General features: G+C 41.3%; 1 protein-coding gene across 7 annotated transcripts in view, besides 1 other annotated feature; it reads left to right on the top strand.

The window, feature by feature from the left end:
- The window catches only part of TSPAN5 (tetraspanin 5), a 188,245-nt gene that overhangs the window by 129,214 nt on the left and 33,899 nt on the right, over positions 1-25,132 (top strand). For all 7 annotated transcript variants that reach the window (XM_005262680.2, NM_005723.4, XM_047449475.1 and 4 more), the window contains one exon: positions 21,670-21,720. In XM_005262680.2, the coding sequence (XP_005262737.1) occupies positions 21,670-21,720 (51 nt within the window). The remainder of the gene's footprint in view (positions 1-21,669; positions 21,721-25,132) is intronic.
- Positions 10,471-10,550: an enhancer, noted in NCBI's record as "active region_21734". NCBI's record gives its function as "activates an Ori minimal core promoter by ATAC-STARR-seq in GM12878 lymphoblastoid cells {active_cell/tissue: GM12878}" and the evidence as "EXISTENCE:reporter gene assay evidence [ECO:0000049][PMID:35858748]".

The raw sequence follows: 25,132 nt of genomic DNA, 5'->3' as shown, positions 1-25,132 counted from the left end.
TCGGGCAGTTTTTTACCCTGTAGAAGCAGTTGTAATCATTTTCAAATCAGGCTTGCTACACCCTTCCAGCTGGAAAGAAAAGTCTCTAATTTCATTGATTTTCGAGGGCACATGCTTTAGTTGAATGAGTAGTAACCAAATGGAGATATGTAGTAGGCGGTTAGAAGTGTTAGCATCTTTGGGATCATGTGGTCAACCACATTATAAATGAATGCTTGGATGTAAGGGCAGACCTGCATCTGTGTGTGTGTTTTCAGTGGGTGGATGGGGCCATGTGGTATCACAGCGTGCCACACAGGGATTTACGGTGGTCAAGAAGCATTTGTGGTACAGAGCTTGGAGTTTGGAGTAAGGCTTCCTTGTTTTGCATCCTGGCTCTACCACTGTCAATCTGTGTGACCTTGGGTGAGTCACTTAACTGTTTCCTCACCTGTTAAATGTGAATAATAACAGTACCTCTCCCCTTTTGTGAAGACTGAATGAGATAAATGAAAAGCTGTTTGCAGTATGGTCATACTAAAATGGGAGCAGTCAGTACCCTCCCCCCATTTCCAGCAGAGTGGTGGGCAGGTCTAGCTAGCCCTTGTACATACACCTTGCAGAATAGTTTATAGTAGTGAGCATAGCTGGTAAATGTACAATAAAAAAAGTTCCTGTTTTTCATTTCTACCTGATTGAATGAGACACCTATTTAATGCAAATTTCAATAATGCTCTGATACTAACTCTGTTCAAGTTAGTAAGAGAGCTTTGTAGAGTTATTGTGACACCTGGGTTAAGTATGGCTGACTTTGGGTTAAGTATGAGGTCTAATCATCCCAGTCTGTCCTCTAGATTTTTTGCTGTTTTGTTCAATATAATTATGTAAACAGGTATTCTCTATGTAAACATTTGTGAAAGTTAAAATACCAAAGCAGATTAAATATAGAACTAGACTGGATGCCTACATCAGTGTTTTAGTGACAGCAAAAAAAAAAAAAAAAATCATCTGTTACATTTAATTATTTTGGCTAGTTTCAGTTCTGTTGGTTTGATAGTATTCTTTTTAGTTGATATATAAATTTGCTTGGGGTTTTATACCAGTCTTCTATTTCTGCATATTTAAGGAATATTTTAATAAATAATAACTTATGTCAACCTTGAGGATCTATGACTTTTTTCTTTTAAAGAGAGTTCATATATTAGTCCATAACCATTGAATAGATCGTTCAGAGTGTATGAAGAAGAGCATAATCCTGTGCACAGCTGGCTTTTCTGATTTGCAGGGTATTTAGTGTACATTTCTCTATCCAGCTCATATGCCGGACAGAGGAACACTTTACCCTTCTGGTCTCTCTGCCTGTTGGGCAATTGGGTTATTCTGGGTATGTGGAGGAGCTTTTTTGATTCTTGTTGTGAGGGATGCTTTCAACAGAAAAGAGAGGAAGAATATTTGTCTTTCATTGCTCAATACCCAGATATTTCATATTCATCAGAAATAGCTACTTCTGAATTCTTTTTTCCTCTTTAAATTAGACACAACATTATCCCGTCTACTGTTATTTCTTTTTTACATTTTTATATTAGCAGTCGACTGTTGGCATGTTCTCTCAGCTGCCTCTAGTGATGACATCCGGGCTTTTAACAGCCATGCTTTTCCAGGGAGCCCTGTGCACTTCATAGATTACACCGTTAGTCCTCACAGTTGTTCCCGGAGGTAGGTAGGATCAGACAGAGCACGTAGGGGTGAGAACAGAGGGCTGGGGCGAGTCAGTCTGAGAAAAGCAGTGGGTTACTTCTTTTATGTTAGCATTTCTGCTTTAGGCAGAGTTCTGCATTTCCACCTATTTTCATATTTTCTTCAAAGCATTTTTCAAATGATAAGTCATTAGCTTCATGGCTGCAGAATGAAGTAAGGGGATATTAATATAGCTATTGAGAAATAAGAACCTTCACTGAAATATTTTTAGGGTCGTTAAGAGCAGTTTTAACTCTTGGTTTGGGTGTGATTTTTGCCTAGAATTTGGAGTGTATTTAAATTGATTTTATATCTAAATTGAGTGATCAAAAGAAACCTCTCTAATGATATAGTTGTCTAATGTCTATTCAGTGTAACTCTTTGAAGGTGCAAGATTAATATTCCTAAAGCCCAGCTCTGATCATTTCATAATTTTCTTTTGTGTCCTTTTTAACATTATGAGCTTTGGATTCAAAAGACCTGGCTTCATTTTATGGGCTGGTTATATAACCTGTCTGATTCTCACTTGCCTCCTCTATAATGGAGGTAATAATACCCAACTCAAAGAGTGGTGGTTACAATTAAGTGAGATCATGTGTGTGAGATACTAAGCACAGTCGATGTCAATAAAGCTTTAAAAAGGCAAAAAACAGTACAAAATCCAGATTCTTTGATGCTATGTTTTAGATGCTGCCTTGGAATCACCTCATAACTGAGTTCTTATTTTCCAGCCAAATACAAAACCTCACTCTTCATTTTTCATGAAGCAGAACAACCAATACAATTTACATGAGGCTAAAAAGCTTCATGAAATAGTACTTTATCTTGCCACATGCTATAGCATTCTATTCCATTTCATTGAGGAAGAAAATGGCCATTAAACTGTGATATCAAGCAAGTTGCAACCTGTTTAAAAAACAGTGGTCTAGAAGGCCTTCCATCTCCATTTCTTAGAATTCTATCCTCCACCCCCCTTGAGACCTGTACCCCCTCATGAAATCTTCCCTCATCTTGGCATCTGGTGGCCTTCTCTGAACTTATTTTTTCTCAGTCTCATTTATGGCATTTACTGCAAATTGGCATTTAGGTTCATTATTGATTCATAACTTATCTCTATGGTGAGATGATAAGTACCATCAGGGCATGAACTCCATTGTGCCATCATTTATCAACCTGTGAACATAGCAAGATGTCCTGCCCACTGAAGCCCTCAGAGGTATTTGTTAGGAAATTGCCTGGTGTCTTGGATGCTTCCTTACCTTTGTGCTGACATTTGAAAGCCGTAGAATTAGAGTTTGTGTGTTTACCCTTGGGAGCGGGTTGCCTCTCGCCATGACTACTATCTAGTTCAGATGTTTTCACCTGGCCTGCCTTGGATTTCTTGTGTATGTGAAAAAGAATGACATTAGGTTGAGATTGGTATTCTGGCTTCTAAATGGAGATTCTCAATTTTCCTGTTTCCTGACTTGACTTTGTTGGGCCTCAGAGGTTCCTTTCAGTTCTAACGGTGTTTGAGCAAAAATCAGCCTCCTTTCTGATGAGACCCAGCCTGATATCTTTAAACCTTGGACCTTTGCAGCATGTAACAGTTAATGATTTTAGCCTATGAGACCTGCACTTTATAGCCTAGGACACCTTTGATGTTTCTGTGTATGTACACGGTGATCTGTAGATTCTATATGTGAGTATATTTATATGCAGTATTTTATTCATATAGAGCCTTTCATCTACAATGAGAAAATAGTATACAGACAAGAATGGAATACTTATATCTTAATTATACAGATACAGTAAGTCCTCACTTAAGATCATCTATTTGGAAACTGTGACTTTAAGCAAAATGACATGTATGTATAAGAAATCTAATTTTACCATAGGCTACTTGATACAGACAAAAGTTGAAGTTGCTAGGACATATTTCTGGTCACAAAAACATCAGCAAACTAAGTAAAGATTCAAAACACTTTTAATATTAAACATTGAAATAAATGTGAGCTATATATACAGAACTCAGGAGGTGGAGGTTGCAGTGAGCCGAGATCTCACCACTGCACTCCAGCCTGGGGGACAGAGCAAGACTCTGTCTCGAAAACAAGAGAAAGGATTAATAAAAACAAAATAATTATTTACTCAATGATTCCATGATTTTAGTTCAGGGTTGAGAGTGGCTGGAGTCTGTCCTGGCATATCAGGGCACAAGGCAGGGACCCACCCTAGACAGGACACCATTCCATCACACATCCACACTCACTCAGACAGGGACCGTGTGGACACTTCAGTTCGGTTCACCTAATGCACACATCTTTGGGATGTGGGAGGAAACCAGAGTACCCAAAGAAAACCCATGCAGACGTGGGGCAAATGTGCAAACTCTGCACAATGGCCCCGGCCTCTCATCAATGTTACTGAAGGAAACGACATTGAACAAAATGACATTTCTCGAAGACCTGCTGTACACCACATCTCACATTTGGAGCCCAGTTTTGAGAACCTAGTGATAAGATTTTAGGAAGAGCAGGACCCATTTTATGTTTACACAAATTACCTACTCAAGGGTCAACCTCATTTAAAGGAACTGATTTAATTTAGGAAAGCTGTTTCTTTCCCTTTTAAATCTAATTTAAGAAGCTTGACTGAAATAGTAATAGATACCAGAGAAGTGACTGTGCAGCTACGTAAACTAACAGACCTGGCCATAGAAACATCTCTCTTGGGACAATACCTTGATAAAATACATATCAGAAATATCTAGGAAATTATAGATAAAAAACAGATCATTAACAATTTAATGACACACAGTAAAAAGATTTTTAAAAACATAACTGCATAGTAAAGTCTGGGAAAAGTTACTGACTGGTACACAGGTGTAGGCAGTAAATCTATTCATAGTCAGATTTTTCTCTTTTGAGCATTGAACAGTTAATAGGGACTTATGAAATGAGTTTTGTTAATTCAGTACTCAGAATTCTCAGACAAGCTTCCTTATTTAGATTCTTTCCCATCTAGTCTGCCATTTACCAGAGCTAAAGTGTGTGTCAAAGGAAGCAGGATTTATCTTAAAGGAGATTTGGAGGAAATCTTCCTTCAATATTTAAGTGTTTGACAAAGTCATGCTCACATGGACGTCAGTTTTAAGAGGAGGAAGTTTAAAATCAGGTGGCTTATTTACGTTACTGGCTGAAAGCCTGTCTGATAGGATTGACATGGAGCACTAATTAATCACCTAGGGTCTCCTCATTTACTAATCATATTGCACAAAACTTCCCTGCTGACTGAGGCTCAAGGGCAAACTGTGGGCTTCCAGCCAGCTTATTTTTCATAAGCATTATGCTACCACTGTAAATTAATGTGAACCTAATATATTCTGTCAGCGGTTTACTTTCCCATGGCGACCCTCTCTGGTTAAACAGCTTTAAATGAAATCTTGTATCAAAAATGAAAAGAAGTTTCTTGCAAAAGGAAAAAAGGATTTTAGGTCCTCTTTGCAATCTTTTTTCCCCATAGTATATGCTATTTCGGTTCTGATACAAATCTGCTAGATTAACTGAATAATGCACAGATGATGTGATAGTTTCTTTTTGTTATCTGAAAAGTGACCTTATATTGTGCTTAGGTAAGAGACTTTTTAATTACACTTTTAATGGCAATAATAGTGTGTTTATTGAGTGCCTACTATACATAAAACACATACCTTAACTCATTGATCCTCATATCAATGCTATGTGAATGCTAGGCAATAGTCTGTATTTATGGGAGAGAAAATTGAGAGTGTCAGCTTGCCCAGGCCACATCCATTAAATGCTGGGGCCCAGATTTGAACCAAGGTTTGTCATCAGAGGTCAGGCTCATTTGGCTGTGTCACTATTTATAATTTGTATGGTCCCTTTATACTTTCTGTTTTAACTTCAGGAAATTAGCAGTCCTCTTAATTTTTAAAGATAAAAGCTGGGCACGGTGGCTTATGCCTGTAATCCCAGCACTTTGGGAGGCCGAGGCAGGTGGATCACTTGAGGCCAAGAGTTCATGTTGACCAGCCTGGCCAACATGGCGAAACCTTGTCTCTACTAAAAAATACAAAAATTAGCCAGGTGTGGTGGTGCACACCTGTAATCCCAGCTATTCAAGAGGCTGAGGCAAAAGAATCACTTGAACCCGGGAGGCAGAGGTTGCAGTGAGCCGAGCACGCGCCTCTGCACTCCAGCCTGGGCAACAGACGGAGACTCTGTCTCAAAAAAAAACCATAATTTTTATTTCCATGTTGATTTTTTAATATTCATCTGAATTAGTAAATCATTTTAGAAGCTTGCTGATCTCTAGCACATGCTTTTATATCTTCAACTCACTTTAATGTCATGCCACTTTTATTCAGAGAACAAAAAGTTATGGATGTCTTTAAACCAGAGGAAATAAGGGACGCTTATTCACATCCCTCATGCTGTTGTTCATCAGGAGACTCTTCCAAACAATTCTAACAGAAAAGGAAAATTCCAGAGTGCACACACATGGATAGTTTCCAAGGCAGTGCTTGTTGAGAACCCAGCCTTCTCTCCTGAAGCTGTGAATAGTTTGTCTTATATGTAAATTAATTTCCAAGAGTCTGTGCATTAAAGTCTTATATAAAAGAACATATAAAAGAATGATTTGTCAAAACCCATTTTCCTTGTAAAAAATACCTAACTAAGGAGAGAGGATGATATTCGGTGGCTTCTGTGGGCTCTGTGTTAAGCCAGTACTTTACTTCTTAGTATGCAGTGCTGATGTTCTTGGTTGAAAGGAATCCATTCCATTTCTTTTTATAGTATCATGAAAAGTTGGAAAGAGGAAAAACTGAGCTGAACATACAGAATAAATAACTAAATGGTGTCGTCAGGCTGCCCTTTTGTTTTCAGACATCCCCCCTCCTTCCTCCTTTGTGAGTCACTGAGCCAGTAAGATGGATCAAAGATGCCTCAGTGTATAGAACATTTTATGTGGAGGTTATTTGTCATCCACAACAAAGGACTAATTGCCTCTGTGCCTTCTTTCACATGATAATCAATGGATTGGGATCTCCTGATTATGCCCCATGCATCCTGCATTCATCTCTCAAGATGTTTTAGGTTTTGATTGAATTTATAAAGCATCAGAAAGATGACGTCAGTTCAGTGCAACTATTAAGGGGATTTTAAACATGGGTATGGAAATATGAAAACAGAGCTTGAAGTGAAGGCACCTGTCATCATTCTTTTTGTAAATGGTTGATTTGATCGGAGGTATAACTTCTATGATAGCTATTAAGAAGGGTCCTGGCATTTTTAAGATGGAGCGTTTATTTCAAAAGGCCCACCAGGAGAAAATTCACTTCCTGTTTCAGCGTGGACTTGAGGTTCTCAGAGATGACTTCTTGGATGACTTTGTTGCTAATGTTATCAATCAGGTTTCATTTTAAAGAAGCTTTCTGAATTCTAACAAGAAGTCAGTGTACTCTGAGTATAGTTTTCTGTAGTGGATTTGCCTAATGTGGGGGTTGGGCACATAGGCCACGGGAGCGTGTAAGTGTAGGAAACACCATTCAGCTCATTCTGTACAATGTCTGAAGCTTTGAAGTTACATTCTCCTGGCATTTCAATTATTTCAAAGGCAAGATGTTTACTAAAATGTACCTGAAACATGGAGTTATTTCTTAGGAACTTTTAATATTTACAGTTAAATTAGAACACTTTAAAATGAAAGAATGATATATTGACTGTAGCACAGACATCTGTTTAATAACAGTCACTTTTCCTCTCTTTAAATGTATAAATGTCCTGTGTTTCTTAGAAAAGAAAGATTTCATCAGTGAAACAAACAAAAAAAACAGAACCCACAAAAACAAAATAAAATTCAAAAACACACACAGATATATAGGCATAGAGAGAGCATTTGTGATAAGTGTTTTAAAAATAGCTATTAATATCTCAGCAGCCTCCTCAGCTCTGATGGTGCTGACATCCCACAGGGCAAGCTGAAGCAAGCCAGGGGGCTGGAGAACAATCTAAGACACCAAACTCTTCTGTGGAACAATAACACTGAGTGTCAAGGACTGTGAAGGGTCTGAGATTTCACCCTGCATGCCAGCAAACAAGTTATCCTGCCACAGTGTCACAAATCCTGGCAGAAGGCATCACACTGCTGGGGCAGACACATAGGACTTTATTAATCACAGCAATGCCAGGAACCAGAGGATCAATATTTTTGTACACTTTCCCTGAGCCCTAATTCTTACAGGGTGGTGCAGAGAGGGCCAGGTGATACATAGTGAGTTGTATTCTAGGAGAGGAACCCTGAACTTAGGGAACTCCGATCTTTTATAATGGGCAGTAAGTCTCCCTGACCCTTGCTCTGTAAAGAAACACTGAATCTTTCAAGGCTATCTGCTGTTCAAATTTTCTTGAAAAGATAGTAACGAAGGACTCACTTGTAATGTCAGTGCCTTGCTGATAAGGTGGCTCACACCTGTAATCTCAGTGCTTTGGGAAGCCGAGGCAGGTGGATCACGAAGTCAGGAGTTCAAGACCCGCCTGACCAACATGGTGAAACCCTGTCTCTACTAAAAATACAAAAATTAGCCAGGCGTGGTGGCACGCACCTGTAATCCCAGCTACTCAGGAGGCTGAGGCAGGAGAATCGCTTGAACCGGGGAGGTGGAGGTTGCAGTGAGCCGAGATTGCGCCACTGCACTCCAGCCTGGGCGACAGAGCGAGACTCTATCCCCCCCACCCTGCCCCCCAAAAAAGTGTAGATGTGAGAATTGTCTCCCCACACAAACTCTTCTGGAAATAGGCACCAGATAAGTACCGATTCCATGAATGGCTAATCTGTGCTGCCTTCTAAAGGCAGTGCAGGTACCAGATGACACAGCCATAACTGCAGCGTTATATCTCTGTTATTTTAAGAAATGGATAAAAGGTGGTATTTTAATTTATCCTGTATCTATGCAACATATTCTTTTCCAAATGTCTTCCCTGTGTTTGACAGTCACAGTCTTGTGACATTGCAGCAGGTGTTATTACCCATTTACACTTGAGGAGACTATCATTCAGTGACTTGACCAAGGTCACACACAGTTACTCTGCAGCTCGCCACTACACCTGGGGGCTCCTGACTCCCCGTCTGATGGTCTTTGGAACACATTGTGTAACACTGCCTCCCTTTTGTCTCCTACGTAAGGTAACGGATATTTCCAGATATTACAGAGGTGCCCCCAGGCCAGTCCTGAGTTCCTTTTTGGCAGTTTCCGTGCCTCCCAACTCATCTTACCTAGCCACACAATGCCCAGTGTCTGGTGGTCATGCTGGACTCATTTGAGTTGAGGGAAGTTACTTTTTTAATGCTTTCTTGTTGCTCTATGTTTTAATTTTCACTTAACGGAACACAAACAGTCTCCACTGTTGCCACCCCTTTGCTTAGTAGAGCTGGCCCCTTCCCCTACTTAATGTGTAATTGCTCTATGGGCTTTGGTGGCACCTCTTTCTTGGTTTCCTGCTGCCCTTTTATCTAATTCTTCTGAATCTCCCCTTTTGGTCCCCTCTGTACACTGCCCCATACATCTTCATGCTCTCTAAGACAATGCCTTGATCCTCTTTCCTCCAGACTATATGTAGCCTTAATGATAACCACAGTCAGTTATTTATTGAGCCAGGCATATGCCAGGCACCTTTTCATGTGCCACACACTTTAAGCACGTTATTTGAGCACATGCGTTATCTCATTTAGTCTTCCCAATGACCCCACGAGATAGATTCCACTTGTCTCTGTGTTTTGTAGAGGAAGAAGTAGAGGACTGACAAGTTAAATTACTTGTCTGAGGTCACACAGCCAGTAATGGTGGAACCTGAATGCTAAGCTAAGTTTGACTCTAGAGCCAACTGCTGTCCAGCCCCCAGATTTCCTTGTGCAAGAGTCAGAATCTTTCCACATCAGTGTCTGACATCTGTCTTGGTAATAACGCCTAAAACTGAAATCTAAAACTGATATTTCTCTCCAAATATTCTCCACTTCTAGTATTCCTAACTTTGTAAATGACACCAAAAGCCTGCCAAGTTGTTTAAGCTAAAAACTGGGACGTTTTCTTAGACTGCACTCTTTTCTTCACCTCCCAGGACATTCCCCTTCATCCATTCATTTTTTTCCTTGCCTTTCCTCTTGTTTTTCCTTTCCTTTCCTTTCTAACAGACTCACTGTCTCACTCAGGCTAGAATGCAGTGACGTGATCATACCTCAATGTAACCTTGAACTCCTGGGCTCAAGCGATCCTCCCACTCAGCCTCCCAAGTAGCTGTGACCACAGACACATACCACCATGCCCGGCTAATCTTTTTAATTTTATTTTCATATTTATTTTTTATATTCACTGTGTTGCCCAGGCTGGTCTCAAACTCCTGGACTCAAGCAATCCTCCCACATTGGCCTCCCAAAGTGCTGGGACTACAGACTGAGCCATTGCACCTGGACCTAAAGGCCCATAATTTTAACCTTGTACCCTGCTGCTTCCTGCCACTGAGTCCATAGAGTCTCTGCCTTTTCATCTGCTGTCTCCATCTTGCTGCGGCTGCCTCTTCCTTTTTCAGCTGATGTCATTCTCACCAAATTAGTAGCCTCCCAATTTGTCTTGCTACCTGCAGTCTCATCTCTCTTCAATTCATTCTTTGTACTGTGCTGGAAAGATGTTTCTGAAATGCAAATCTGATAACTTGTTTTGCTTAAAATCCTTGGTTGGCTTCCCATGGCTTGCTGGTCCCTTGGTACCCATAACACATACAGCTATGCTGATCAGGCCTTAACCCTTCTAGCCCAGAGGTTCTCAAACTTCAACACATGTCACAATTACCTGCAGGGCTTGTTAAGAAGACAGAACTTGCTGGGCCCTGCCCCCAGAGTTTCTGATGTAGTAGGTCTCGAGCTGCCTCAGAATTTGCATTTCTGACAAGTTCCCTGGTGCTACCACTGGTGCGGGACCATAGCCTGCCTAGTGCCTTGTCTGGCTCTCTCTGCTCCAGCCCTGGAACCACTTGCAGGTTCCTGAAGGGAGATGCTGTTTCAGGCTTTGATCCTTTTGGATAAGCTGTTGCCTCTACAGGAGATAGTCTTTCTATCGCCGTCTCTTTAAAATACAGTTCAAGTGTCACTTCCTAGGAAGCTTCCTCTGACCCCTGCAGTGATCTCATAGTTTCTGTGGCAACCCATGTGCATCTCTGGGAATGCTCCATTTCTGTAATTGAGTTGTCATTTTATTTATGTATCTCCCACCCACTCCCACCAGACCATTAGCTCTTTAAGAAAAGATATCATTCATTTTCTTTTTCACCCTTCTATCCCTGGCACCTAGCATGGTGGCTGGTATATACTGAAGATATTCATTAAATAAGTTGAATGATATAATCCTACTTTTACCTTAAAGAATAATTCTATTTTGGTTTTTATTTGCATTAACCTTTATCATACCTTGTTTTTAAATGTCAGGATAGACTGGGTGTGGTGTGGCTCACGCCTGTAATCCCAGCACTTTTGGAGGCTAAAGGGGGGAGGATCACTTGAGCCTAGGAAAAGTTAAAAAAAAAAAAAAAAAAGTCAAGATGTTTCAACATAAAAACAGTGTGCATCTGACAGTATTAAACTTTCGAAGCTACCATTAGAGAGAGCTTATAACTCAGCTGTCTAATGCAAACCGCAGTTTATTCCTACAAAGGCTGATGTTTGTCTATAGATAACTTACTTCTCATGCCTCTGATTTGAAGTGCTTGAGTTATTCCTCAGTCTTTCTCAGCCTTCAGAACATTTCTCTGGTATGTTTTTCAGCCTTGGATTTATCTAATCAGGGAGTTACAGATGGAATAGTGCAAGCCTTTCTTTTACTGAGACAAGCAAAGATTAGTGGGCTGTAAACTTGCAGCCTCCATGTTTCCATCCAAAAGAGGATGGCTCATCCCTCACTTTCCCTTTTACGTGCCTGCATTGCTTGGGTAATTTCCAAGAAGAGTATCAGTTTGATTGCTTGCACAGCCCTCCCTTCTCTCCCCTCCCCATCTCAGATGACTAGTCCTTGCCAAAATGTCAAGTTCCAAACCCTAACAAAAGAGTTTGCAAACAAGACTGTCCCTGGATTGTAGACATTTCTTCAAGGGGTGCCTGGCCTTCTCCTGGTGTAGTGCAAGTTCAAAGGCAAAGAGCCCTTTCATCCTCTGGGAAAACAGAGAACACAGTTCCAAAAATGCTTGGATACCTCCAAATAGACCTCCTCCCCTGCCTCACCCCTTTCCCAGGCTCTGCTATGTGGTGTTTTTCAGGAACCATTCTGTGGATTTTAGCCATATCATTCTGCTTCCATAGTTCAACAAGCAAGCAGCAGACAGCTCTTTCCTGCAAGTGGATGTGTGGCTGAATTATATATTCCTTACACAGCAAGTAACAACATCTTGCCCAGTAGTTCAGAACAACTGGTATCTCCATTCAATTATTTGGAAAGAAATTTCCCTCTGCCAGAGCATGATTAGTCTCTGAGCACCATCAGTCTCATGCCTGTTTTGCATATCTTGTAGCTTACTGTAAGCTTGTCACAGGATTAAAGCATGAAAGCAATTGATCTGGTCTCTTATTTATGTCTTAGGACCAGTCTTAATCTGTTTTGTGGTGTTGCTACAATAGAATACCCGAGACTGGGTGATTTATAAAGAAGAGACATTTACTTAGCTCATGGTTCTGCAGGCTGGGAAGTTCAAGGGCATGGCCCTGGTTTCTGGCAAGGGCTTCCATGCTGCATCATAACATGGTGAGATGCACAAAGGGGAGACAGACACGTGCAAAGAGGGATCAAACAGGAGAAGGAATCTCACTTAATGCCAACCAACTCTTGTGGGAAATAATTCATTCCCAGAGAACTAATCCAGTCTCAGGAGAGCAAGAACTCACTACTGTTAATACAAGTGTTCAGTTACCTCTAGAACAGCTGCAAGCCATTCATGAGAGCTCTGCCCCCATGACCCAAACACCTCCCACTAAGCCCCACCTTCTGACACCACCACATTGGGGATCAAATTTCAACATTCATTTTGGTGAGGGCAGACAAACCGTGCTCAAACCATAGCAGAATGCTTTTGGCTGCATGTAACAGAATGCCCCCAAAGTAGCTTTAGCTAAGATGAGAGGCGCTTACTTAAAATAGGAGCCCAGGGGATTGCATGGAACCCAGCATAAGGAGTGCAACCACAGGTCCCGGGATAAGAAGCTGGAAGCAGTCAGGAACATAAGCTACTCTGGGTCTCTTTTCTACTTTCTATATCTACATAATATCCCCCAGTCTATTCTAGCATGAGGGAGACTAGGCTGAGAAAAATCACTTTGTCCAATACCAGACTCTTGGGAAATGGGAGACTCTGGCCCAGCCTGGTATTCAGTGGAACAGCTCTTCCTGAGTCATATGTCTGACCCTAGTGACTCATCTGTCCAGAGAGTGGGAGAAGGCCCATCCTCCACAAATATGCGTACAGGAGCCCCTGTTGGGGCAGGGCCAGTTTTCAGAAAGGGGGATGTAGATGGAGGAGCTAACTCGATTAATATTGGTTATCATTTGTATCCCACGTTCTTCTGAAAGGATTCTGTAAAAAAATAGGCACAATGAAACCAAACCCATTCACACAGGATATCATGCAAAAACCAGGAGCAATAAGGTTACGGAGAGGAAAGATGCATCTAGAAGCCCTGATGGAGAGAAACTTCTTTAATGCAGAAATTAAATTAATCAAAATTAGTGGATTTAAAAGTTCTGGGGCTAGTCATCCAGAATTCATGAACTAGGTTGCTAAGAAAAGCAATGGAAAAGATGTGAAATTAAGTACCATATGAGTATCTGACTAGAGTGTGTTAGTTTGTTTTAAATGCATGGGATACTGTATACATTTTTTCCTGGAATGACCCTCAAGCTGAAATTGAGGAGAGAAGATAAATGGGAGGCCGGATGCTGCCACTTCCTGTGAGCACATGCTCTCTGGTTAGGACAGGCCCCATCACTGATCTCTGTTATCTAATCCCAGGTCACATCACTCCTCCATAATCCTCTGTGTTTGGGTGTGTGTGTGTGTAAATGTCAAATAAGGGCACATGCAGCAAGTGATACAGAAGTTCAGGAGAGGGAGAGAGAGAGAGAGAGAGAGAGCCTCTGATCACTGTGAACTAGTATATTTTCTTGTATTTGGAGGAGGCAGGACGTGAAGCTGCATTTCATTTTGACCAGTTGTAGATGGCAGGGTTGGAGGGGCAGGTTGAGAAATGTGTCAGGAGGGGGGCAGGAACTGATATTAATGACAATACTTGCCAAGCACTCAGTGCTCACGTGGTCACATCAACACACACAATTGCTTTGTGCAGTTCTGAGGTGCCCTTCTTATCTGCATGTGACAGGTAAGGACACCAGAGCTCTAAGAAGTCAAGAAACCCTCCAGTGATTCTTTGTCTCAGGAGAAACCAGAGTCCTCACCACAGCCTGCAAAGCCCAACACAACCTGGCTCCTATCATCCTCTGTGCTGTGTCTTGCAGCCACTTGGTGGCTGTGCCTCCAGACTTTCCCTGGAATGCTGTTCCCCCGACACCTGCCATTCACTCCTTCACCTCTTTTGTGTTTTTGCTTATATGTCACTTTCTTAGTGAAGACCTCTGTTATTTGCTCTGCTTTCATATTGCAGTGCCTCCTCTGTCTTCTGCCACATGACAAGCCCGTGACACTGATCTCTTTCCACAGCACTTCCCATTTTAAAAAATTCCCTGCATCTACTCACTTATGTTTCTTTATATTGCCTTTCTCTTCCTGCACACTTCAACTAGAATGTAAACCCCACAAGACCAGTCACTTTGTTTTGTTTCCCAGTTTATCCAAAGCCCCTAGATGACCTCCTTGCTCATGGTAGGTGCTCAATAAATATTTGCCAAATGAATGAAGACCCTTTCCCAAGATCATGAAACTACGTAGCACTGGAGTCAGGGTTCAGCAGGCAGAGTGCACTCGGGCCACACTGAAAGGAGGCCATCAGGATGAAGTGACATGAGAGATGGTGACCCTGGCTGGATGGGACATGTCCTGTTTACAGTTTGAGCTTTATCAGTCACGCCATCTTACCATGAGGACTCCGGACAGTTTGAATGTACAAACTGGGACACGGGGACCCAATGGGAAAACTGGGATTGACTTTCTGCATATTGAATTTTCCACCAGCCCACAGTTACTCCTTTGACATGGCCAGAATTATCCCCAGAGGTTTTTTTATTCCTGAAATAAGTCCCTCCTCTATAAAGACATTTATTTTGTTATTATAAGTATTTAGCACATTTGTGTGGACCCTGCTAAAACGAGTGTTGTTCAGACTAAAGTGTCAGAAAATATATAATACAGAGTACAGGTGCTGCAGCTTCAGGAAAATACAACTTTCCTAATGGCACTTCTCCCCTTGCCTCCCTTCTATGCTAAATTTTTAAATGCATTTCTCCTGTTTATTCAGGCAGGGATTAACATTTTCTTAAAGACTTCATCAGAATGTTGGGTTTTTTTCCATTCATTGTTATTTAGGATGATATTTTTGTGACTCCAATTTAGGTAAGAAGATTGACTTGATCTTTATTTTCCTCTATCATATTTACCTTGTGTGCTGTTATTTTGAGTCTGTTCACAGGATCCTGGGCAGATGCCATCAATGTAATTGCTATGTTTTTAAGCAAAGAGGATTGAAAGTGTCAATTTAAGAATTGTCTAGGAACTTGATATATACTATCTATCTATCTATCTATCTATCTATCTATCTATCTATCTATCTATTTGCTTTTTATGAATAAAAGTAGCAGGGGTGTTGGAAATATATGTATATTTTTAAATAATTTATTTTTTAAAAGTATACAAACCGAAATTTATTTCAAAGAGAATTCAGATAGCAGCCAAAATACACAGAAAAGAAAACTGTCCTTCAGAAGTGCCACTAGATCAAGCTAGTTATGAAATTGGCACCTGAGAATAACTTCTGTCAGAGGGGATGTAAGTCTTTGGAATTTTGAAGAGCCATAGTCTCTGTAGAAGATGCCAGAAATGTAGGCATTATCCTTAACACTTCCTTTTCCTTCCCCTTCCTCCCACCCCCACTGAAAATGTCAGTTTTACTTCTCAGTAGCTCTCAATTCCGACCGTTTCACCGTATTTCAGCCCAGGACATGATCACATCTTGCCTGTATTACCAAAGTCACCTCCTTTTGATCACTGTAGATGCACTCAGACTCTAATCTTTTCTGCGGCCCAGATCCTCATTTTTCCAAAGCCCAGATCTGCAAAGACCTGCCTGCCTACCCCACCCCTGCTCACCACACATAGCTGGCCTTTAAATGGCTTCCTGGCACTTGTAGGAGAATGACTGGATTCCTTAAGGTGGGCTACAAGGCCTGCATGGGCTGGTCCATGCTCGTGTCTCTAATTGCAAACCTGCTGTACCTTCCCCACTTCCCCCATTCTCTGTGCACCAGCCACAGCAATTGCCTTTTAGACCTGTTTACTTGTCATGCTTCTCTCTCTACTGGGACTTTGTACATTCTGCTCTGCCTGAAACACTCTTCCTCCTTTCTTTGCTCATTAACTCCTTCTCATCCTTTGGACTACATGTACGCATTTCTCACTCAGGGAAACCTTCAGATGCCCCTCCAGGTCAAATCCCCCTGTTATAGTTTCTTTGGCCTTATTTGTTTCTCCTTTGTAGCACCATTAGGAATGATTTTACGTTTTACTCTTTATTTGAGGACTCTCTCTCTCTCTTACTGGACTGTATGCTCATTGGAGGCAGGAACTGTTTCTGTTTTCTTACCTTCATTTATCCCAAGAGAAAAGTAGTGTCTAGTACAAAATAGGAACTCAAGAATATTTGTTGCAGATTATAAATGAATGGATGAATGGCCTCTTGAAGTATCCATTTTTATACCAGTTAGAATAAGGCACTGTACCAATTTCAAAATGTTGGAGGTTCAGCAAGGAAGAAAACCACCAGATAGGGAGGAAAGGATCTTCCTTTTGTAGAATTCAGAGAAAAGTGGGGCAGATGTGTCCCTCCAGAGGTAACTAATCGCCCTCATCACATGCTGGGGCCATTTTCTTCTCCAGCTGTTCCCAAGGGTCAGCTCTGCCGGCTGTCCTTCTGCTATGCCTGAAGGCTTCCATCAGCCTGCCTGAGGGCTGTTCTCATTCCTAGGTGGGAAAACATACCTTTGATGCCTAGAAATTAAAAGAGTAATTTAGAGACTTAGGGCATGAGTTTCATTACAGTTCTCCGTCCCTGAGCTTGCTCTGTGGACAAACATTCTGTGCATATTAGGAAAGTATAATAGTTTTGGTCTTGGGCTAAGGATTCAGATTTTCTGAGCAATGTAGCTCAGGCACCTTTATGATCTTGGGAGGAATACTTAAAATTTCTTTTTTTTTTCTTTTTTGTTTGAGACGGAGTCTTGCTCTGTCGCCAGGCTGTAGTGCAGTGGCGCGATCTCAGCTCACTGCAACCTCCGCCTCCCAGGTTCAAGCGATTCTCCTGCCTCAGCCTCCCAAGTAGCTGGGACTACAGGTGTGCACCACCACGTCCAGCTAATTTTTGTATTTTTAGTAGAGACGGGGTTTTACCATGTTGGCCAGGATGGTCTCGATCTCTTGACCTCATGATCCGCCCACCTTGGCCTCCCAAAGTGCTGGGATTACAGGTGTGAACCCCTGCACCTGGCCTTAAAATTTCTAAGCCTCAGTTTCCTTATCTATAAAATGGGGATTAAAACAATATCTAGTGCCTGGGATATTGTTATGGGATACTTTGTACCAACATTATTCTATAAAAATATAATGCAAACCACCTATGTAGTTTACGTTTTCCATAGCTATCTTTAAAAAGTGAAATGAAATTAATTTAAATATTTGACCCAGTATATCCAAAATGTTATCACGTCAAGATGTAATCGATAATAAATATTAATGAGATATTTTACATTCCTTTTATTCATATTAAGTTTTCAAAATTCAGCCTGCACTTTACACTTACCAGTGCAGCTCAGTTTGAAACAGTAGTCATGTGCCATATAATGATGTTTCAGTTAACAGCCAACTGCATATACAATGGTGGTCCCATAAGATTATTATATTGTGTTTTTACTATGCCTTTTCTATGTTTAGATACGTTTGGATGCCAGATACTTACCATTGTATTACAGTTGCCTACAGTATTCAGTACAGTGACATGCAGTATAGGTTTGTAGCCTAGGAGCAATAGGCTATACCATATAGCCTAGGTGCGTCATAGGCTGTACCATCTAGGCTTGTGTAAGTACACTATGATGTTTGCATGACTACACATTTCTCAGAACGTATTCCCTTTATTAAGCAACACGTGGCTGTAGTTTAGCCATACTTAGCATTCAACAAATGCCGGCAAAATTATTGTTATTTATTTTAAAACATCAAAATTTGGGTTGACAAACATTTGTACTGTACATTTGCATATATTGCCATGTGGGAAGATGCCTCAGATAAGATGCCTCAGATATATTTTTTTCCATTTCAAAAGAGTAAAGGGTTGACTTTAAGACTTCTCAGCTATTTCCTGCAAGTGGGCCTCCCTGGGTTTCAGAATGAGGTCAGTTTCGTGGTTTATGGTTGTCTTTTCTTTGGGAGGTGGGAAGGGGAAACTGAATGTGCCTCAAGTATTGCATGCCTGTCTCTGTTTTTTGGCTCTTCTCTGTTTAATTATTGGGAACTGGAACAACTTGATTTTAAAACAAAACATATGGTCTGAGAATAATTGGGAGGACATTTGCTAGTGATGTAGCACTGAAGGTATGTATCAAGTTGAGGCCCAGGCTTGCACCACTTGCTTGCTTAGGTATTGAGTGTTTCCCTTAACTTCAAATTGTGTTCTTTCCCAGTTCTTAAACCCTTGTTTGGAAAGTCACAGTCAAAGCAGGAAATATGGGAGCAAGATTATAAAGGAAATTGTCTGTGAGTCTTCTTTAAATCCCTACTTTTTTTCTCTCTCCTCTTTATGGAAAACCATTGGTTTCCAAGCTATTTATATGGCTCGTGAATGAAAAAAGTTGTCTCAAAGTGCCAAGAGGAGAGACGAAAACTTTATTTAAAAAGGAGAATGTGGACCCACCATTGAATTTCTCTGTTCTTTTGCTTAACTCCATTGTGGACACCAAAGTGGGGAATTTCTGTTCCACAGCCAGTTCTTATGTGAAGGCAAGGTTTTTATCTCTCTTTACCTTTTCCACACCCCTTTGCTTGCTGGGGGAGGAATATATGATATGCTGATCATGTACCATGTAATTCCAGCCTGAATGCCTCAACTTTTTATATCATGGGAGCAAAGGGGAATTTATCAGGACTGCTAAGAACATGTATTTCTCTTGTTCAAGTCTCTGCTCCTCTGCTTAGAAGCTATGTGCCTCTGAGCAAGTTATTTAAACTCTCTAAACCTCATTTTCCTCTTTCCTAAAAAGGGGATAATAAGAGCGCCTATTTCAGAGTAAAATTGTTGTGAAGCTTTAAAGAGACATTGCACACAAAGCACTAAGCATGATGCCTGGAAAGTAATAAAAACAAATCTTAGCGATCAAGCAGAGGCCTTCGGCAGGAACATGTCCACACCATCAGCAGCAGGAGGGACAGTGAATACTGCGTCAGGGAAAATAACCAAACATTTGTCCATGAGGAGCTTCAGCATTGGAAAGTCAGCCATTTCACTGGGTTGTGTTTGATGTCAATGGGTTGAAGTCAAAGCCTTAACTCTGTGCTTCTGTGCTTCCTAGGTCTCATGGGAGCCTGTACACTCACTTGTCAGTGGTCGTTCTCTTTTGCCCAGCACCTATAAATATGAGAGTAACATGCTGAATTGTTTTACTTTTGTGCTACAGAGTCCTAAGTACCTTTGAGTCTTTTGGAGATTCACTTGTTTTGGATCTGAAATGTAAAATGAAATAGCTCTCTGACCAGGGCTGAGCACGGTTTTTCAGTTGGGATAGTAAAACGAGAAATCTTTCTGAACACTTTCCAAGGAGTCCCCTATAAGAGCAAGGGGTAGGAAGAAAGGGGTCTTCAGTTCTTGCCAAATCAAGGACATGATTTTCTGTATAGGGCTCAGAATGTATTGTGTGTTGTCTTGCTTCAATGTCAGATGAGTGTCGAGAGCTTCGGGAAGGTCTGCTTTTTAAAAACACCACTATGTTTTCGGAGCAGCTAATTGTCTTTTGTCAGTCCCCTTTTCTTTCTGCTCCTGCCATCTGTCCAAGTCCCGTTTGGATTTATTAGTGATTGCTTACAAAGTATCAGGAACTCCCTGCTGAGAACAGTGAAGCCCTTGCCCAGTGGGCAGGTCTCGGATTTCCCTGGAACTGTAAAAAATAACCACTCTCACTCATTTTTTTCTCTGCATACCCCTCTCAGTGGACCACTTTCCTCACATTAACTTAATCAAGATGTTAGTAAAATAAACGGTGTGCTGCCATCACACTGAAACTTCTTGTCTCTTTTCAGTGTTTGGAAAGGAAATTGAGAGTTGCTATTGATAATAAAGATGAAGCATATCTTTACTCATGGCCAATTACACACAGTCCTGATCATTGGATTTTTAGTGGGTGGACAGCTCTGTACAATGTGTCATCAAGTCTGTGTCGCCCCAGTTACAAAACACTCCATTGTTTTCTATATCAAGGGGGAAAAAATTATGAGATACCATGGATTTTAAGATACATCCCAATTTCAGATGTGTTCAAATGTGGGGAAAATATATGTATCTTATAGCAGATGGAATACAGTGAGAATTAATTAAAATGGAAAGCCCTAGTCCGGGAGTGGTGGCTCACACCTATAATCTCAGCATTTTGAGAGGCCGAGGCGGGAGGATTGCTTGAGCCCAGTAGTGTGAGACTAGCCTGGGCAATATAGTGAGGCCTTGTCTCTACAAATAATTGAAAAATTAGCCAGGCATGGTGGCATGCGCCTATGGTCCCAGCTACTTGGAAGGCTGAGGCAGGAGGCTCGGTTAAGCCTGGGTAGTTGAGGCTGCAGTGAACTGTGATTGAGCCACTGCACTCCAGCCTGTGTGAGAGAGTAAAACCCCATCTCAAAAAAAAAAAAAAAAAAAAGAAAAACAGTAAAATGGAAAGCCCTCCTGGTTATCACCTGTTCCTCTCCTGGCATTCCCCCAGTCCTCAACACAGCTAATTGACAGAACGGTGAGATTTGTGGGTATGTATGAGATGTGCCTCTGCCTTAGGGCTGAATGCGTAACTCAGTCCCATGTGTTGTATACTCTGTGTATGCATGAAGTTGTGGAACTGAGTCAAAACCAAGAAGGGTGGTGGGAGGTCCTCTGAACTAAAATTTACACAATCGAAGTTTCTGAAAACAGAACTTAGGAATTTTCTTTGGGTTACATTGATAAGATTCTTGTTACCTTTGGAAGGCATGATCAAAGAGGGACATCCAAGGCTCTACATGCCCCTCGCTGACCTGGCCCATTTGTAATGGCTCAATACTGAAGAGAAGATCCCAGTTCCTCTAAGTTAATGCCTCTGCTTATCCATTTTCTAGTGACCACAGGCCTCAGATCCATGGGGAATCCGTTTCCTCCCCTACCCTAAAAGGCAGCATATTAAATGTTATTGATAATTTCAGTGTACTCAGGATTCTACCTAATTATTACTCTTCATAATCTGAATGACTTCTAACCAACTGTGTGTCTCCAGCCCTTCTTAATGCTGTAAAAATTTTAAGTAGGGGGATTATGGTATTTATTTTCCTGGTAAAGATAAGTGCTCACACTTTAGGAAAAGCTATTTCCCAGCCAGGTAAAGTGACAAAAGAATTGATTGAAAAGTTTCTTCTTTATATTAGCGGCATTTTCCCTTATATTTACACTGCTTTCTTTCTTTTTCAGTTTTTGGGAATAACATTTCTTGGAATTGGACTGTGGGCATGGAATGAAAAAGTAAGTTGAATATCATGACAATGCACACATCGTGGTTGTTAGAGGCTGCACATCATATTATGTATTATCCCCCTTTCTCTTTGACAACCACAGAGTATAAACATGGCTCTTTAACAAGAAAAAGTGTTGGTGGAAGATTAATGTCATACTCTCAAAGACACTTTAGGAATTGTGCCTAAATTGATGACTGCATCAAAATAATTACTGAAGTAACAATACACGTGCTCAACAGAGAATATACCTTGGAATTTGATCAGTTAGCCAAAGATCGATGTTCCTATGGGATATTTTCTCACTCAGGCACAAGAATTCCAGTAATGATTATAAATATCACTAAACCACCTGTAGCCTTTTTTTCTCTTCTGCTTTTTTTCTTCAACTCTTTGGAAGATAACTCAAGATAAAAACGATTTTTTTTAGTGTGTTATGTGGTAAACAACTATTAGCATGTGGATTGAAGGAAGTGGGATATAACTTCATGTTTGAGTATCAAATACACTCATCATTAATGTAAATAATGGGAATGTTTGGCTGCTGGTGGCAAGTATTAAGAAATATTCAGTTTATGATCAAATACAGTATAATAAAAGGAAAATCTGGAAATACAGAGTAATCTATGTGACAGTGAAGATACAATGTTCTGGGCAGTTTCTGCTCTAAGCAACGCACTCATGCAGACACCCCCTGTGTCCACACCTCTCCTTCCCATCGCACCTTCTAATTTTTCTCTACAGCTCCCCCTACTGAGGCCACCAGTGGAATTCAACAGTGAATATAAACACCCGCCCCCTCCTCCCAGCTTTTTTCCTTCCTTCTTTGCAAGTGAAATCACCTGCAGCATTTCATCTATCCTTGTATCTGGCTATACACAAAAGCTTTATTATCTCCCACGTAAGGACAAGGGGATGTATAGAATGGTTAAAAGCTGCCATAAACTAAAATCTAGCTTAAAATTTCCCAGAAGACCATTCTTTGATCCCGTAGGTGTTTCACCCTCTAGCCTGACCCTGGCCTGAAGCTGAGAGTTCCTTTGAAGTGGTAAATGCATTAAGAAAGGAGAGAAAAACTGGGAAGGTCCAGTCAACAAAAGCCCCTCAGAGGCCAGTAGGCATTTCCACAACTAAAACAATGTTCAGACAGACCATATAAAACAAAACTCAAAGCAAATCCTGAGTTTTGCAAATGAACCATCCTGTATTTATTTACAAAATTCTTCTACAGAATGTAAAATGTTTTATGGAAAACAAACTACTTTTTAGCAACAAGAGTAACTGAGGCTACCTGGAGTTTTGAGGCAGGGCAGTGATTATGTATGAGGGGAGACAAATTAAGTTCCCAAAACAGAGATAATTTCATCTCTAGAAACTTTTACATTGAATATCGGTTGATCTTGTCTTGGATTATGGTTAACTTTTGCCTCAAGCCTATTGTGAACTTGGAAATTTGTGGAATCTGGGAAGTTGGTTAGATGCCAGATAACACAGCTTTTTATAACTCCTTTAATAAGAGTCCATTTCTATCTGCTTTGAAAAAATGCTGGAAGGCATTAAATGAACTAATTATCTGTTCTAGCAATAAACAGCAGTTGGTAATTTTGAAGTTTTTTAATTTTCTCTTTATGAAATATAATTATCTTTTTGTTTCATCAGTTGCCTCAAATGTCTCTTCTCTGATAAAATCACAAACTTCTAAAACTGGCAGTGTCATACAAATATCAGAGCAAGGGGTTGATGCGGTCTTTAGGGAGGGATGAAATAGCAGTTCCTTTTTTGTAAGGGCCACCATCAAGATTTCTCTTGAGATCCGAAGTTAACCTGGCCAAGGTCACCCAGCTCCATGTAGCAGAACTCCATAAGCAGGGAACAAATAGAGGCAGCAGAGGGTGAAGCGGGTGTTAGCCGTGCACCAGCCCAGTTTGGTGAGTGCTGGCCATGTGTCTGGGGCCTGAGTGTGGGGAATACGACAATGAGGGATGCAGAGTCCATGCCTCATGGAGCTTGCATTCTGGTGGGTCACCAATGAGAAGCAGTTACTGCCCAAGTATGTTTGTCCAGATACTGGTAAGTTCTGGCAGGAAACATCAAGTTAGAGAGTGGTGGGAAAAGGAGTCTCTTTTAGATGAAGTAGTTGCCAACAGCCTCTCTAAGGAGGTGGCATGGGAGCAGAGACCTGGATGAAGGAAGAAGGATCTGCAGGGTATGGGGGAAGAACATTCTAGGAAGAGGGAAGAGCAAGTGCAGTGGCCCTGAGGCAGGGACTTTGGTGACTCCAGGGAACAACAAGAAGGCCAGTAGGCCTAGAAGGGAGAAAGCAAGGACAAGAAGAGGTGGGTTGTGTTGCCAGGTAGAGGCCAGACTGGGCAGAGTCCTGCAAGAAGTTTGGATATATTCTAGGTACAAGGGGAAGCCACTGGAGCATTTTGAAAAGTCTAATATGACTTTTTTTTTAAGATCACTCTGGTTGCTGGGTGGGAAAAGAGCACAGCTTTGTGGCTTTGCTATGGACTGAATATTTGTGTCTCCCCACCCTGCCAAATTCATATGCTGAGGCCCTCATCCCCAATGTAATGATATTTGGAGGTGAAGCTTTGGCGGGGAGGTAATTAGGTCATGAGGGCAGAGCCATCATGAATAGGGTTATTAATGCCCTTCTGATAACAGAAGAGACAAGAGAGATTATTTCTCTGTCTGCCAGGTAAGGACATAGCCAGGAAGAAAGCCCTCACTGGACACCAAATCTTGGCGCCTTGATCATGGACTTCCCAGCATCCAGAACTATGAGAAGTAGATGTTTGTTGTTTAAGTCACCCAGTTTATGATCAGTGTTATACAGCCGACTAAGACAGGGGTAAACAGACCTGAGTTCAAATACTGGCTCCTCCAGTATTTGACATGTGTGGAATACACACATCTCATCTGTGTGATGTTGGCCAACTGAGTTAACTTCTCTGAGATGCCATTTCCTTGTTTGGCAATAGGTATACTGTTCTCACCTTATAGAATTGTTGTGAAGATTAAATGAGACCTCCCTCAGCACAGTGTCTGCTCTAAGGCAGATGCCCACTGGAGACATGGCTCCCTCCCCTGGACACATGACCATAGGCTGTCCACTCTTAATATGGGGCAAGAGCACAAAGGTAGTTTTGAAAGGCAGCCTCAAATTTTAGGAGAGTTTCAGGCTCCAATCCATGGACCAGAGAATTGGGTTTGTTTTGTGGTCTCTTGAGGAGGATGTGAAGTGTGTTGATCTCCTTGGTAACTGCAGAGACTGCTCTCTCAAAGCCCTTTGGGTTAATTTCTGAGTTCGGCCAGGCCTCTGCTGGAGTAAGTTTTCAAGGTGAACCCCAGCCTGGTAGACAGTGTGGTGAACACTGCACCTGCTGAGCTGACACCATCAGCCCATGAATCAGTAC

Source organism: Homo sapiens, chromosome 4 (assembly GCF_000001405.40).
Source record: "Homo sapiens chromosome 4, GRCh38.p14 Primary Assembly".
Taxonomy (NCBI): Eukaryota; Metazoa; Chordata; class Mammalia; order Primates; family Hominidae; genus Homo; species Homo sapiens.
This window is presented reverse-complemented; position numbering and strand designations above follow the sequence as displayed.